Source organism: Homo sapiens, chromosome 7 (genome assembly GCF_000001405.40).
Source record: "Homo sapiens chromosome 7, GRCh38.p14 Primary Assembly".
Taxonomy (NCBI): Eukaryota; Metazoa; Chordata; class Mammalia; order Primates; family Hominidae; genus Homo; species Homo sapiens.
Window position 1 is genome coordinate 27,121,662 of NC_000007.14, and position 15,055 is coordinate 27,136,716.

Sequence of the window (15,055 nt, forward strand, 5' to 3'; positions counted from 1 at the left end):
AGGCCTAGGAAATAGAATACAAAATCTCAAAACTTTTTAAAAAGAAGTAATTCCTGAAAGAACAAAGCAAACTCATTCCTTCATACCATGCTTCTGAAAGCTATTCCAGCAGCCCCTCCCCCAAACAGGCATGTAATTTATGGATCTTTTACAAGGTAATAAACCACAGTAATTACCTCCCTGCATCCCAAACTAAGAGGACAAATTAAGTCAGAACTTGAAAATAATTTAAAAGAGTTTTCCCTTGTTTCAAATAGGAAAAGGAAACGCCAAGACATAGAAAACCACGCTTTTCCCGTAGGAAGAACCGATGATGAGCCCTGATGAAAGAAGGAAGAAGACCCGCTGTCTGCGAAGGCCTAAAGGTTAGAAATACAGCAATTTTTCTCATGCCGAAGGAAAGGCAAAATGGTCTAAGAAACTGCAAGAGTGTGATACAAGTTTTCCTCAACAGCGAGCTGGGACTGGCGACAATTTCTTAACTCACAGCCTCCGCAGTCGCCTTAGTCGACAAAGAGAGCAGCCCACGCAGCGGCCGCCGCGCCCGTGCCCGTGGCCTTTACTTGCTTTTGCCCTGAAGTTCAGTGTAGTGGTTTGTTTGGGGCTTGCAGGAAGAAACAAACACACTCCCTCTGACTCTCCACAACCCATCTTTGCCTTCTGCAACCGCTTCTCCTGCCCATCGCTGGTTTTGGGGTAGGCTCTTTGTCTGCCTGAGGCCCCGCACTCGCAGGGCAAGAAGCTTAAAGGAATCCAACTCCAAACTCCTCCGAAGTTAAATATTGACCAGAACCTCTTTCAACAGGCCGCGGTTGCCAGGAACCGTGGAGGGCCAACTCCTCCCAACCGCCCTGGTGCAAAGTCCCACGCGGCGAAGAGTTTTGGAGCAGCGCTTACCTAGAAAGATGTTTAAATTCTGAACCAGGAATTGTCTCCAACTCCAGGCGCTCAGGGAATCGCCTTTTCCGGTGTCCAGGCGCTCTGCAGACAAATAAACAGCAGAAGGTGAATGGCGGCTGCGAGGGAAGGGAGTTGGAGGCCGGGAGTGGGAAGCGAGGCTCATGCGGGCGCCAAGGTGGCCCTGGGGGTGACGCGAACATCAGGGAGTCACCAGGGCACTCGTCCGTGTGGCGCACTCATTGCTCGAAATGTTCCAGTCTACAAATGGTCCGAAGATGGTGATTTATTTTTGTAAAATAAATACATACTCCATCTCCACACCCATACTTTCTCCTTTTTCTTTCTTTTTTTTGGCGGGGGAGTGGGGAAGGAAAGGACATGAAGCAAACAGAGGAAGCTGAGAAGGTGGAAGTGGCTTTGCTGGTGGTGTGGGCTGCTTTCAGAGAGCTCTCTCCTCAGGCACCACAACTTGGAGAATGTGAATGCTTGCTTTATTTTCCTTTCCTAACAAAAGGAAGCCTTGTCTGGGAGCATTCAATCACGGACTCTCCTGAAACCTCACTAATATGTGTTCATTTCTGTAGGCGCGAAATCAGACCCGGGTTCATTCCACTGGCCAGAGGCAGTCTTGGGAGGATTTGTGTTCTGGTTTATTCAACTCTGGGTGCGTTCCTTTTAGGTCCTAGTGGGCTGGCGGGGCTACCGCAGCACCTAGTCCCTCAGAGCAGGCCAGCTAAGGCTGCTGGAAACTGAGAGGGACGCCGGCTGGTACAATACCTGCTCAGGGGCCCTGCTCCTGCCTGGCCTTGCGCAACGGCCACAAGCCGATCTGATGCCTTGATTCTGCTCAAATCTCGTCCCTCACAGTATTTGCAACCCTCTCTTGCCCTCTAACCAGCAAATGGTCACCGAGCCGGCAGTCAGCTTTCTGGGAGTGGGAGATGATGGGGAAAGAGGAAAGAATCGTCCGCTCGCCGGACCCTGGCTTGGAGAAGTTCTGCGCTCCGCTGGGACTCTGCGGGCCCTTTGCGTCTACAGACCTATCCCTGCCCCGACTACCCCTTCACTCAGACCCAGGTAACCTCTTACCCCAGCCTGCCCCAAACCAGCCCTCCGCTGTCTGTCTGCCTTCACGCAATTCTGTAGATAGCGCTAAGAGGGGATATCAAATAGCTGAGGAGTCCCCTGACCCCTGGCTTCGGAGCCCCCTAGCACGTGGAACAAGTGGCCGCACACCGGTAGCTGCGCTCTGCCACAGTTCGACCCGTAGCCCCCACAAACCAAAGGAAAAGGACCCAGGATCCACGCTGCGCGCTGCGCCCCCTTTCTCTTGTTCAAACTTGCTTTCTGTGTCCCCAAAGGGAGTGCCCCCTGGTCTTGGGGCTCCTGGCATGACCATGAGCAAGGTGGACTCAGCCATCCTGCACTTTGCCTCTCAATTTCATTCCAGAAAGATCCGCTATGCCGCCACCCACCACTCCCCTGCGTGACACTTAGGAGTATGTAATTATTATGGTTATTATTTTTGCTGTTTCCTTATCTCCAAGTCTAATATTCATGGCTGCTGTACCCCATAAATCGTTCAGACTAATGAGTCACAGAGAGATGCTGCCCAGGTCTCTCACTTTACAATGGCTGCCGCCGCCGCCGTGGCCTCTCTCTCCGCGTTTTTGGCGCTCGCTTGCTCCCTCGCTCGCCCGGCGCGGGTGATTTATGAACGCCGGGAAAATTGAACAAAGCCGCGCGCCCGTCCTGTGGTATCTCTGCAGCCTTCCCCAGCGTGAATCAGAACATTACCAACTGTCTGCGCATCCGTCCCACTTCATCACCAAAGCCAGGATGTGACCGCAGAAAACCCAAGCCCGAACTCACGTTTCCCCGGACGCGGCGCGCTCCCTGGACTCGCAGAAACCCTGCGGAAAAGGCCCCAAGATCTGGTGAGGGCCTGCCAGCTCCGTCCTCCCTGCCGAGGGCTCTCTCCTGCCTTCCTGAAGGAGTTAAAAGCCTTTGGAGATAAATCTGAGGGTGTGTGTTTTTAAAAATCAAATGGTAAGTTGGAATCTCACTTCTGAGAGATTCATTCCTAGTGAGGCCCTGACGACTCCGATCCATTCCTGACGATCTGCATTAATTATTTAATGAGTCACGTGACCTCAAAGATTACAATTTCAATATCTCCCTTGCACAGGCGCTACACCTTTATCAGCTGCAACCAGGGTCCTTTTTTTGGCTCTGCCGGCCTCCGGGGCACATTCATCCTTGCCCTGGTCTGAGGCAAGCCACCACCATGGAAATAGCAGGGCAAGCATGACAGAATTAGTCATCCTGGGATTATGACCGTTGTGGATAGTGGGGAGTCCACTGCTCTCCGAGATGCCCTGACATCTGTCCCCTCCTGAGCCCAGTGGCCAGTCCACCTGTCTGAGCTCTATGACTAGGGTGGCTTGGTTACAAAATCTCCCCAAGCAGCTTTGATGGCCCATGAGGCAAGAACCCATCCTTCTTCTCTGGCTGTACACACCTGTGACCGTCCAGGTCAAGTGTAAGCTTAGATGCATACCTCCATTCCTGGCAGAATATCTTCCTAAGAGGAAAGATGTCTGTGCTCTTATTGCTCTCTAGAGTGAGACTAAAGGTTGCATTCCACCCTCGTACTCATTAACTTAAGGAACGGTGGAGGGAGGATCATTCGGCTGCCTCAGTTTTCTCATCTGTAAATTAAGAAGATTGAACCAAAATGGCCTCCAGGTCTCCTTCACTTTGGACAGTCTTTCAATCTGGGAATCTCTTTCAGCCCCAGGAAACAATCCCAGAGAAAGTAGGGCTGGCTTGAAAGGGAAGGGGTTGCCCCGTGATTTTGGAGTCTTCAGAAGAGGTGCCAGAGTTCTGTAAGTTGCAGCCTAGAGGGTTTCAAGACAGCCACAGCAGCCTCCCTCATACCATCAAGGGAACAGAACACACGTCTCTTCCTCCTATTGTTTCCAGCCCATGTGTTTCTTTGGAACACGAAGCAGAATTATTCTTGGGACAGTGTATAATATAGGGAAGGGGCAACACAGCAGCAGTTGAGAAAGGTGAGCCTGTGTTCTGCTATACAAGACTGTGTTTAGGGATGCAGAGACCAGGGGAGTGCCAAGGGCAGCCTACTGCCTGCACAGAACCCACTCATTCAGAGGGGAAGCCCCAGGCTTTTTTGCTACATTGATTCTTTGGGTTTTTCTTCTCTTTCATTCTAAAGAGTCATTGATCTGTTTCTATGTGGGAACTGCTAGAGGGAAGGCAACAGTGAGGAGAGCAGAGTTTGGAAGCTTAGGGGAACAGGGGGACAGAGGAAAGATGGTGATATCCACCCCACCCCACCCCATAGGGAGGAGGCTGAGATATAGGGGAATGGGGCCCGCTGGGACAACTGGGTATGAAGTCAGAGATGCTATGCGAAGGGACTTCCCTCCTCCCCCATCTATCTAGGTAATCTTCCCATGGCTCCATCCTGGGTATTAAGTACTCTACTATGCCTGTCACAGTTGAATTCCTGCTGTAATAAAACACCGGGTATATCATAGATTTCAGCAAAACTAGGGAAGGAAGCCTGCAAAGTGCCATTTTTCTTCAAGGGGGAGAGTGTTAAGTACTTAATTCAAACTGTGACCATTAAAGTGTCTCCTATCCGATTTAGGTCGATTTCAGATGTTGACAAAACTTTTGTCTCCGGAGTCATGCACAACTTGGCTCTGTGACTAAAGCAGATGAGTGTGTATTGGAGGGAGGGAGAAAGAGAGAAAAGGAGAGTATGTGTAAGGCTCATTTTGGTAAAATTATAGAGCTTACACAAAATACTGTCTTTAAAGGTCAAGGATTTGAGGGGCCAGTAGGGTTTGCTTAAAAAAAAAAAACAATTAATGAGATAGAAAATTTGTCCTCTCGGTGAACTCTTATGGTTGCCCTAGCAAAGGGCAGACAATGCATGATTTTGAAGCACAAAGTGGGATTTTCTAATCTCTTATAACAAGCTCCCTTAAAGGCCAATTTGAAGCAGGCAAAACAACACTTAAGAAATGGCAATCATTTGGATCATTTTCTATAATCTGGGTTTTGTAAAACTCACCAATACCTTAATAATCAATACAGTTGGGACAAAAATGCCATCTTGTCCTGGAATATCAGAAAAATGATCTCAATCCTCTCTCTTCCCTTTCTGGATGGACTTATAAGTGCAAGTGAAAGAAAGTCACCCCTTTCATCCTCATACAACTGCCTGCAGCATGAAGCTAATGAATATTCCCATACCCCTCTTTTCCCACAAAGGAGAAATATAAGAATTTACCTTAAATGATGATAGTCTGCCATTTGAGATTTTGCAGCTTGACACTCAATTTCCACTGAGAGTCTAGGCATTTTTTTTTTTTAGCAGACAGCCAAGATGCTGTGTCCTTGCCTGAGACCACATTATTTGCAAGAAGATCCCTCTCTCCTCCACAGACTTTTCCCAGAGAATGCCTTTCAGAATTGCTGTTGAATTACAAAGAAGTATTTATTGTTTGAGGTGATTAATGATTCCTGGGAAAATTGCTATTTTCAGCGTGATTTAATTTTGTTTTACAAGTGTGTGTAGTAGGGGGAGGGTTAATAAGTTTCAGCAGCAGTTGCATTGCCTCCAGAAATCCCTGGCACCCGTTCACACCTTATAAAATGCACTTTATGCCAGGTTTATCCTGATTTGGGAAGGTAAGTGTGTATTTGATTGCTCCCGAATTTTCTTGGCTCTTCAGAGACTGGTATCTATCACTTTCCTCTCAAATCTGATTTGTAGGTATAGAACGGATCACCCTTGTTTGTATCACACACAGGGCAGCAGGGGTGAAAGGGGTACCAGCTCTGACACTGGCTAAAGGGTTTTGCCACTAATGAGAGAAATGTGTTTAAAAATTCTCTGATATTGCAGAGGCAGGTGAGCACTTACTCCCATCTATGCTAAAATTACTACATTACTTAAAAGTTGCACTTTTTCAAGGCCAGGTGACAGTTCTAATATTCTGGGGCTAGTGTGCACAGGTTTTTGTGGTCTTATTGTAGGGAACTCCCTGCAGTAAGCATCAAATCTAAATCAGTAAACAAATACTAGGGTTATAGAGATCGAGAAGTGGGTTTTGATTTTCAGCCTTTTGGATCTAGATCTCTGGAATCGAGCAGAAAATTCACAAAGCATTTGAGGAAAGTGACCCAGTTTGGCTATTTTCCAGCAGTAAACTCTCCCAGGTCTACTTTGCATGGGGTGAACTTTAGGGGTATATTATGCTTTTTCCTCAGAAGAGACATTGGAGAGTGTACTTGTAAAATTCAGTTTATTTGAAAGCTCTTTCTTCAAAAAAGAGAAACAAACAAGCAAACAAACAAAAATTCCCAGTCTGTAGTTAGTGAAGAGGACCTTAAGAACAGCCAGGAAACAAAAACTAATCTCAACCCTTTGCACAAACTATTTTTTATCTCCTGGGAAACAGGCAGATTAAGTGTGAAGGTGCAACAAATACCAAATACCAAAGAGACCACTTCTTTCCAAGTGTGCTCAGAGTTCAGTGTGTAGAACAGCTGCAGAAACTCCTGGGCCCACAGCACTGCATGGTTTCAACTTTCATTGCAGGGAAGGACACGTTTCTATGCCTTACAGAGACTTGAAGCCTGAAAGCCTGGCCAAGTTTGGGAAGAAGAGGAGCCCTCTCAGAGCTCAAGAGCCTTCCTACTCTTTGGAACTTTTCCACAGTAGGCCAAGCTTGACAAGAGTTCAGCTCAAGTTGAACATACATACACACACTCTCACACACAAATTATGTGAGCCGTCAGAATCCAAGTGAATCCAGCTCAAGCTATCTACAAGGTTTTTACATGCAAGGTCAAGTATCTCAATCCAGAGGACTTTTGTTTTCTTAATGAAAAGCTTAGAAAACACATGAATCTTAGATTTTTAATGTTTTTTAAATGGAGTTTATTCTTAGCACATGGCTTTCTATGTAGCCACATCACAATTTGTACAGTTCCACATAAGTCTAAATGCACTCCCCTCTCCCCAAAGACCGTGCCCCAGAAGGGGACAACAGTATCTCTGTAACAGTGTCTTAAATAAATGCAAGTAAGAAAAACTAACATGTCACACCTACCATCAAGGTCTACACATCTTAAGAATTAAATAATCTTGTGAGGTCCACAATGTCTACTCATTTATTCAGTTAAATACAAGCTTGGATGAGCTGCCTTAATGGGGGAAGAGGAGGTAAGGAAGGTGGGGAAAGGGTCTGTCTTCTTCTGCTTTCAACAAAGATGCAAGTGTATGTCCCCACTCAGCATGGGCTGTCCAGCTAGCTGACTGTAGCCATCTCAAAAGTATTTGATACCAAGTAGTCCTTCTCAGGTATCCACACCTGGCAGCCTTGTTTCGGGCCAGCAGGTTGTTCCACCAGCCAGCATCCTGGACAACTGTTCTCTCTTGGGTGGCAACCAGCACAGACTCTTAACCGGATAATGTCTTCTTTTTGATTATTCTTTTCACCAATTTGGGTTTGTTTTGGTGTCTATTATGGTCCAGATGGGGAGGGGTGGATGAGGAACGGAGCAGGAGAAGAGAAGAGAAAAGCAGGTAAGGGATAGAAACTGGTTAAGATCTCTAGAAGATTATATGGAGGAGGGAACGGGTGTGGAGGTGCTCGGGTGGGGGTGGGGATGGAGGTGTGGGCTCTGAGTTTGTGCTTTCCCTGGTGGGCCGGCAGAGGCCGAGGCCGAATTGGAGGATCGCATCTTGGTGTTGGGCAGTTTGTGGTCTTTCTTCCACTTCATCCTCCGGTTCTGAAACCAGATCTTGACCTGGCGCTCAGACAAACAGAGCGTGTGGGCGATCTCGATGCGGCGCCGCCGGGTCAGGTATCGATTGAAGTGGAACTCCTTCTCCAGCTCCAAGACCTGCTGCCGGGTGTAGGCGGTTCGAGAGCGCTTAGGCTCCCCTCCGTTATAACTGGGGTTAACTGAAAACCCAGAACCCCGAAATAGAAGGCCAAGGAGGAGGGAGCGGAAGAGAGGGAAAGGAGGAGGAGAGAGAAGGTGGGGTGGGGAAGAGCAATTGGACATCATCATTATATAATAACCTGACACCAAGTTCACGCAAGATACATAAAACGGCAAAGAAAATGTTTCACAGGCTATTGACAACGGGAAACACCCGAGAGCCATAAAGAATGGTGCTGGGCATTGGGGCTGAAGAAAAGCTTCAAAGACACATGGCCTGAAGCCTCTGCCAGGGCAATTAAATTTATGGGGGCTATAATTACTGCCCTAACAGTTTGGCGTCTCGTAAATCTCCTGATAAAGGGACCCTGGGTACAAAAGGGTTCTCATGTTGGGATCAGGCGGCTGGCTGGCGCGCACATACCCACATCTCACCGCAGCCCGGGTCAGATGGGGGCTCCCCTCCCGAGGCCCCCTTCCCCTGAGCCTCTCCCTCCTGACCCCGACCCTCGAACCCAGGCCCAGCCCCGGCCCACCTCCCGCGCCTCCCAAGCGGCGCCACGTACCGGCGCTGACATGGATCTTCTTCATCCAGGGGTACACCACGGGCTCCTTGCCCTTCAGGCCCAGCGGGCTCTTGTCGGCCAAGAGCAGCGGGCACGCGGGGGCGCTGCCCCCTGCCGGGACGCCTGGGGTGGCGGGGGCCGCCTCGCAGCGCCGCGGGGCCGCTGGGGGCACGGCGCGAGGCTGCAGGGGCGGCGGCAGCTGGGGCTGCAGGACGTGGCTCGCATGCAGGCCGTGCGCTGGGCCCTTGGCTTGCGCCGGGGGCTGCTCGGGCTGGGGCGGCCGCCCGGGGCTGGCGCCGCCGCGGTAGCCATAGGGGTAGGCGGTGTCCGCGGCCCCATGCGCGGGGTACAGCGCGGCAGCAGGGTAGGCGGGCTCGCGGGCGGTCCGCGGCGCGTAGTAGGAGGCAGTGGGCTCTCGGCCGCCGCCCGCGTGAGGGAGCTGGGGCTGCTGCAGCGGCAGGTGCTGGGTCGGGGGCGCTGGGGGCTGCTGGTAGCCGGGGCCCCCGCCCGGGCCGCCGTCTGCGCCGCCCGAGCCGCTGTGCTGCGCGTACTCCTCGAAGGGAGGGAACTTGGGCTCGATGTAGTTGGAGTTTATCAAAAACGAGCTCATGGTCATTAATTTGTGAAGTGCAAAAATACTAATTTTTCTCGCGTTGTCGTTTTTTCTGGGCTTGCCGAGGCCCCTCCCCCTCCTGCCTCGCTTCCCATCCCCCTTTCCTCTGCGCCCTTCCCCTCCCCCCGCTGTCAAGTGCCCACTCCTCCCCCTCCCGCAGACGCCGCCACCAAAGTTCGAGCCGCTCCTCCCCAGCCCAGCGCGCGCCCCGCCCCGTGCCCCACGTGCAGCGCCCCCACCAATGGGCGCACCGCGCGCGCGGACCCGGATCAGGAAACGCGCGGGTGCGTGATGGATGCTGCTGTCCGGCCCCTGGGCTGGGGGAGGGAGCAGGAGCTTTGGACCCCAGCCCCCCAGCTTTGGTTCCCGCTGGGAATTCAGGCCCTGTCAGGCTGTAGGTCCTCTCGGGAGCCCTCTGCCTGCCCTACTGCTGGCCTAGGCCTCGGGCTGTCTGGCGGCCGCGACTCAGCGCTGACCTCGGGCGCAACCCAGTCAGGCTTCGTGTCCTTCAGGGGTTCTAGGCTAACAGGCGAAAGGAAGGGCGTTGGGACCGAGGGGCATCCTGGTTTTTATGTACGCCACTGAGAGGCCACCAGACACATTTTCTCAACCGCAGATCCCCCTTCCCCACACCCTGCTCCTTGCGTGTCAGCCTGAGAGCCCTTGCTTTGAGAAGCTTGGCAGAAGCTGCAAAGGGTGGGCGGGCAGCTAAGAGAAATCGACCCAAGGATGTAAATCGAGGCCATTCCATTATAACTGGATGGACACTTTTCATTTTTTCCTTCTTTCAGAGACAATCTGTTTCGTGTTTTCCTAAGAAAAATTGGAACCTTCGTAATAGCATCTAATTTGACGGGGGTTGTCGATGTGAGAGCTAAATATGCCCGCATTTACTAGGTGCGATTGTGAGAGAGAAGGTGGCCCAAGGATGGGAATGGATAGAAGCAACACCTCCACAGAACCGAGCTTTGAAAACAATAACTTCCTATTTCAGAACTATCCCCAAACAAAAACAAGCTAAGGGTAGAATAAACACCTTGCCGGGTCTGATCGCTGATGGGTCTTTTCCAGCTAAGAATTTCATGTTTTCTCTTTTAGATCCTGCTTTCTCAGGCAGTATCTGAGGCTAGAGTTATATTTGCAGGACAGTCTATAATTTCTGAATTGCTGAAAATTAGCGTATTAACGATATCAGAAGCTCCGGAAAGGAGGGAGAGGAGACTGTTGCCTGCTATTTGGTAATTGAAATTTGATGGGTACACTAATTACGCCATTATTAACAAATAAATTACTTATTAATTCCACCTAATGTTGATCTTTGAAGTAAATACTGATGCCTTATTTGTGCTGTGTGCTTTCTCCCTTTCTTTTCTGAGTAGTAGACATATCTAGATCCTCTACTTTTCAGCCTAAATTAAAGCAGTGTAAACTAGCATAGTCACCATTCTAAAAATATTTTCATATTGGCATGCAAAAGCAAGGATTTTTCAGCTGGTGCACCTTAGTTGATTTTTCAAAGAGCAGTATAAACAGCCTTCTCACAACTGAGTCTGGAACGCAGACAAGGAAAATTATTTCCTAAGCCTGGAGACACTTGAAAAGGAATGTCAATTCTATCTTCATTCATACTGGTTACTCATATGAGTTACTAAATGCTGGAATATATCCATTTGATGGATAGTCACTTAATGCTTAGCCACATAAAGCCTATTATATGGGACTAATCTTTAAACTAATTTAGGAAAAGAGGTTAAAAAGGGGATCATATTAGCTTTCTAACTGGAATCACCCTGAAGAGGTACAAAGAGATTTTCCACGTTAGGTGTATATGAGTGTGAAGAGTGCTGTCCATTCACATGAGGCACCCTGAAAATTTGTTTTTAAAGAAATTTGAGCCACAGACAGAAATCAACACTGAGTGTAATCTTTAGCCATCCTCTCTAGACTGGAGGAAAAATTTAGAATGTGATACATCTACCTGAACCAATATCTCTCCCTAGCAAGAAAAAATAATATACACATAGGTTATATAAAATGTAATATAAATAATATATAGACATACGTATTACAAATCTGAACCCTATAAGTTTCAGGGGGACAAAAAGCATGACAAGGAAATCTTCCCTCCTTCTCATGTCATCAGCCTTGAGTACTAGGGTCTTAACCATATCTGTTTAATATTTACAGACACTAAAACACAAAATTCTGTTGTTTAGCCTCAGAACCTTGTACCAAGTTTCTATTTTTAAGTATTAACGAGACATAAACACTGTTTTGTATACGGTTAACCCAAACGAGTTAGCTGTGCCTGTGTTTTGTGTGATTCTATTACTTTAGGAAGATGGCCTTACACAGAATCCCCCAAGGCCTGTAACTTGTCTTTGTGGTTCGTATCATAAACACAAACGGAGCCAGGACCACCAAGTGTTATCTCAACACCGACATTTTGACATTTTACTGCAAGATTTATGGCTGTAATAAACAATCTCAGTACCTTTTCTGAACCTTCCTCAATCTCCCTTTGCAAACCATAGCATCATTCCATTGAATCAAATAATCTTTTGAAAAACATTTAAAAAAAATACCTCTTGCCTTTACACAATATCCAAGACACCAAAGTAAAGCCAGGAAGAAACTAACTCAATTAATAAACAAACTGAAGTTTACCAGCAGCATCTCGCCTGAGAAAAGATGGGATGCCCTGAAATGTAGCAGAGAGGGAGCATGCTAATCCTCACACACCAACTGGCTCCAGTCCCAAGCGGGGTGAAAGCGTTATCCTTTCCTTAGGAAACTGGTGAGCACGTTTGCTCATTTCCACGTGCAGGGATAACATATATTCCCAACAAAAGCTTTCTTAAAATCCCATTAGGTGAAATAACTTTTCATCATGTCCTCGAATCCCAGATGGAGAAGAGTGAAGGGAGTCGGAGGGAGAGGGAGGGTGCAAGGGAGGCAATGTTTTGCAGCTTGGTTTGAATCTGATTTGAATCATTTTGAATATATTTGTAACAGCATTCCCTCTTGAATGCAACCCTGTCCCAAGTTTCAAAGTGACCGAACAGTGACACCGTGTGCATTTTGTTTCTTATTAATCTTACACATTGACAGTCTTTGTTAAATCACAAGGCGCGCCCTTCACTAGCCGACATTTTCATATTTGTTAGACGCACTGACCTGAAGTTCACCTCGGCCTTGGACTTTGCGCTTCTAAAAGGTCTATACAGTGTCTTTTAGAGAGCAGGGTGCTTTGCCCAGGTCACTCCTTCTCAGGAAAAACCAAGGGGAAAAGCCAAAGGAAATGTAAACGTTATGGAATGTATTGACTGTATTTGTCCTTTGTTCTTTAGAGCGAGAGTCCCCCAGACTGTTCTCTATCTGATGCATGTCTCTAGAGCTGAACAGTGGAATGGCAGAATTTCAAAACGCCTGATGGTGGCATTTGAAGGCTTCCCCACCACCTACACTAGACACAAGATTTGAGAGGAACAACACTTTACCAGCCATTTGACCAATTAATTCTTTGGGGATAATTTTCTTGTAGTAGTTTAAAATAATGCACACAACGCAGGGATGAGGACTGATATTCATATTGGGATTACACATGAATTTTAACTGGGATTGTTTGAGAGGCCTGAGGTTCAAAATCCTCCAGATAAAGCAAGCACACTAAAAGCAATAAATTCTGCAAGTACTCTTTTCTTTTACTTTGAAGACTAGCTAAGAGGTATCTATGGTTTTTGAAGCTGACATGTCTATAAGGTGTGTCACATGTTTTTAACCAAAAAGCACAATAAAAAGGTTTTTCCCAAAGAGACACGTAATTGTCTTGTTGACTCATCGAGGGGTTTCAGTTTTCCTCATTTCACTAGCCCAAATGTGGTGAAATGTTCACTGCTGCAACAGCAATCACCACAGTTGTTTCCTTTCTTCTGTTTCATCTGGCAAACCCCCATTTGGCTTCAAGCTCTTGGCCAGAGTGAAAACTTTACACATTGCACAGAAGCACCCTGATTACTTCCATGAAGGCAGTGTTTGGAAAATATTTACTTTACCACTGAACATACCTGGCACCATTAAATCCAATCAACCAAAATATTGGGATGATCTTAAACATTCCTGCAAGAGTCCACATTCTGAGTAGATGAATTATTTCCAAAGTTAAAAAAGAAAAACCTAGGGAAAATATTTCACTTTTCTCTTCTCTGTTTTCCTATACTGATCCCTTGAAGGTCAATTCATAGAAAAGGGAAATATGTCCTCTGGAAAATAGATTCTTACAGCACCAACACTTAAAGCCATTCTAGATGCATGAAAAATAAAATATTGTTTAGCTCTTCAGTTGCAACTCACACATGAGGCATGGTTCTAGTCGGCTTCCTTAATACACTATTCTCTTTCTTTTCTGCTCTCCCACCCTTCTTCTTAGGTTGCTTTATCTTCTCCTTGGCTTTTTTTTTTAATTCCACGTGTATCATTAAAAAGTACATTCTGAAGAATAGAAAATATTCTATTCTGTCCTGGTGGTCTTACAGAGTAGCCTGTTATTTGTGGATTTCACCTTTCTGCATTCCCTACAGTCTAGTTATTCACTTATAGCTTGTAGCATTTCTCTTACATTCAATTGTGGTTTAATAATAAACATTAAAAAAATTTCCAAACAGGAACATTTTCATGGCACCAGTAAGCATTTTGTCACTGGCAGTGGTGGTGGAAGGGGTGAAGGGAGAATTCTGTGTCTTTCAGGAGGGTTTCCACTTCCTTCCTTCCCCTTCTCAGATCTCAGAACGCTTTGCATTCAGCGGACTGTAGTTTCAGAAAAAGCATATTCTGTGTTTGAAAACTGCAAAGATTATATTTTGCAAGAAGTGTCTGTGTTTGCATTTATTCTTACACACTTTAGGGGTCATCATGTGTACTAAAAAGACAAAAAACCGGCCAATCAGAATCCCTCTTTTCAAATAAAGGAGGTTTCCTGCACCATTCTGTTGCCTTTGAAGGCATAATGAAATATTGGAAACTTGTGACATTAGTTTTTAAAGCTCCACAGATGAGTTTTTAGCATTTTTATTTTGTGACAAACCCACAGACTCCTGGTTCTCCAACACCTAAGGTGTTGATGTTTCAGTAATCTATGCCTATTTACCTGCTGCTATTCCCTCAGAATGGGAGCGATAATTCAAGATGAGATACAGCATGTATTACTCTTGAAAAGAGGAATTTTCTATCCTTTCCTCCGTAATTGAGGTCATTCAACCACTAGGGTTCACCTGGAGTCCATACCGTGATACACGCGTCACTCTGAGCCATTTTATCTTTTGTGCTGATAGTCAAGATCACAGCTCTAACATTGACATCAAACTCTGTCTGGGCAGATGACTAAGAGCACTGCACAATGTAAACTTTTGACCCTCAACTTTTTGACCTGCAGTTGTAACGCACTAACCGCAAAGATACACAAAGCCGAGCCTCTTCTTTCAGGGGGAAGGGGCCCCCCAGCATCTCAGGATGCCCTGCTTCTGCCACTGCCATTTGAAATTAGAGGGTGAAATGGATATTTTTGTGTGTTTGTGACTGTACTTTTTGTTAAATCAGCCTATGACCTCTTCGTTAGCACCTAGGAACTAGATTAACTTGAAATCACTCGTGATTCTATTTTACAAGGAAAATTTGGAGCAGAATGGGAGAACCTTGCAAAAAGTGAAAGAAAAGAGAAGATGGGGGAAAGCAGGCAATGGGAGGTGGAGACACTTTTTCCCTTTATTTAAAACTAAAGACGCAGCCCTAATTGTTGGGAGAGCTGGCCCAAGCGGGTGAATTGACTGTGAACTTGTACTAAAGCGTGCTCTGCTGGCGATTCCTAGGGTGTGCAGATTTATCTTCTCTGCATTTACTTAACCCGGCAGTGAACTGCGCGGGCGTCATTTGTTAGGCGATGACAGACTTCACCTCCAGCAAGGGCTGCTTCACAAAATCGCAATAATTA

General features: G+C 47.0%; 2 protein-coding genes and 1 long non-coding RNA gene across 13 annotated transcripts in view, besides 5 other annotated features; 1 reads left to right on the forward strand and 2 right to left on the reverse strand.

Moving 5' to 3' along the window:
* HOXA3 (homeobox A3) overlaps window positions 1-15,055 on the reverse strand; it is a 45,574-nt gene that overhangs the window by 14,652 nt on the left and 15,867 nt on the right. For 2 of the 11 annotated variants that reach the window (NM_001384335.1, NM_001384339.1), the window contains 3 exons: window positions 5,225-5,409; window positions 2,773-2,888; window positions 898-981 (listed from right to left, as the gene is read on the reverse strand). The gene's annotated coding sequence lies outside the window, so the exon portion shown is untranslated. Of the gene's footprint in view, window positions 1-487; window positions 712-897; window positions 1,048-1,111; window positions 1,367-2,525; window positions 2,889-5,224; window positions 5,410-15,055 lie in introns of those variants that run through there. The other 9 variants (NM_153631.3, NM_001384340.1, NM_001384336.1 and 6 more) reach the window with 7 other exon arrangements.
* Window positions 35-1,234: an enhancer, noted in NCBI's record as "CDK7 strongly-dependent group 2 enhancer chr7:27161315-27162514 (GRCh37/hg19 assembly coordinates)". NCBI's record gives its function as "activates an origin of replication core promoter dependent on BRD2, BRD4, P300/CBP, MED14 and CDK7 cofactors, with strong dependence on CDK7, by STARR-seq in HCT116 cells {active_cell/tissue: HCT116}" and the evidence as "EXISTENCE:reporter gene assay evidence [ECO:0000049][PMID:35650434]".
* Window positions 35-1,610: a biological region, named in NCBI's record as "CDK7 strongly-dependent group 2 enhancer GRCh37_chr7:27161315-27162514".
* HOXA-AS2 (HOXA cluster antisense RNA 2) lies at window positions 258-7,099 on the forward strand. Its single transcript, NR_122069.1, has 4 exons — window positions 258-365; window positions 806-1,005; window positions 1,799-1,977; window positions 6,539-7,099. It is a non-coding gene; the product is annotated as an HOXA cluster antisense RNA 2 (long non-coding RNA).
* Window positions 813-1,610: an enhancer, noted in NCBI's record as "H3K4me1 hESC enhancer chr7:27162093-27162890 (GRCh37/hg19 assembly coordinates)". NCBI's record gives its function as "activates a minimal SCP1, AML or CMV promoter by ChIP-STARR-seq in primed H9 embryonic stem cells {active_cell/tissue: H9 hESC(primed)}" and the evidence as "EXISTENCE:reporter gene assay evidence [ECO:0000049][PMID:30033119]".
* Window positions 2,410-3,207: an enhancer, noted in NCBI's record as "H3K4me1 hESC enhancer chr7:27163690-27164487 (GRCh37/hg19 assembly coordinates)". NCBI's record gives its function as "activates a minimal SCP1, AML or CMV promoter by ChIP-STARR-seq in primed H9 embryonic stem cells {active_cell/tissue: H9 hESC(primed)}" and the evidence as "EXISTENCE:reporter gene assay evidence [ECO:0000049][PMID:30033119]".
* On the reverse strand, window positions 6,864-9,096 carry HOXA4 (homeobox A4). Its single transcript, NM_002141.5, has 2 exons — window positions 8,457-9,096; window positions 6,864-7,910 (listed from the first exon to the last, which is right to left on the reverse strand). The coding sequence occupies exons 1-2, from the start codon at window positions 9,070-9,072 to the stop codon at window positions 7,564-7,566; spliced, it is 963 nt and encodes a 320-aa protein (NP_002132.3). The 5' UTR covers window positions 9,073-9,096; the 3' UTR covers window positions 6,864-7,563.
* Window positions 9,254-9,323: a silencer, noted in NCBI's record as "silent region_18042". NCBI's record gives its function as "represses an Ori minimal core promoter by ATAC-STARR-seq in GM12878 lymphoblastoid cells {active_cell/tissue: GM12878}" and the evidence as "EXISTENCE:reporter gene assay evidence [ECO:0000049][PMID:35858748]".

Bases quoted from the DNA above. Each gene is read 5' to 3' on its own strand.
- HOXA4 (NM_002141.5), bottom strand. From the start codon at position 9,072: ATGACCATGAGCTCGTTTTTGATAAACTCCAACTACATCGAGCCCAAG. The intron at 7,911-8,456 runs GTACGTGGCGCC...CTGGGTTTTCAG, and splicing joins GAAGATCCATGTCAGCGCCG to TTAACCCCAGTTATAACGGA.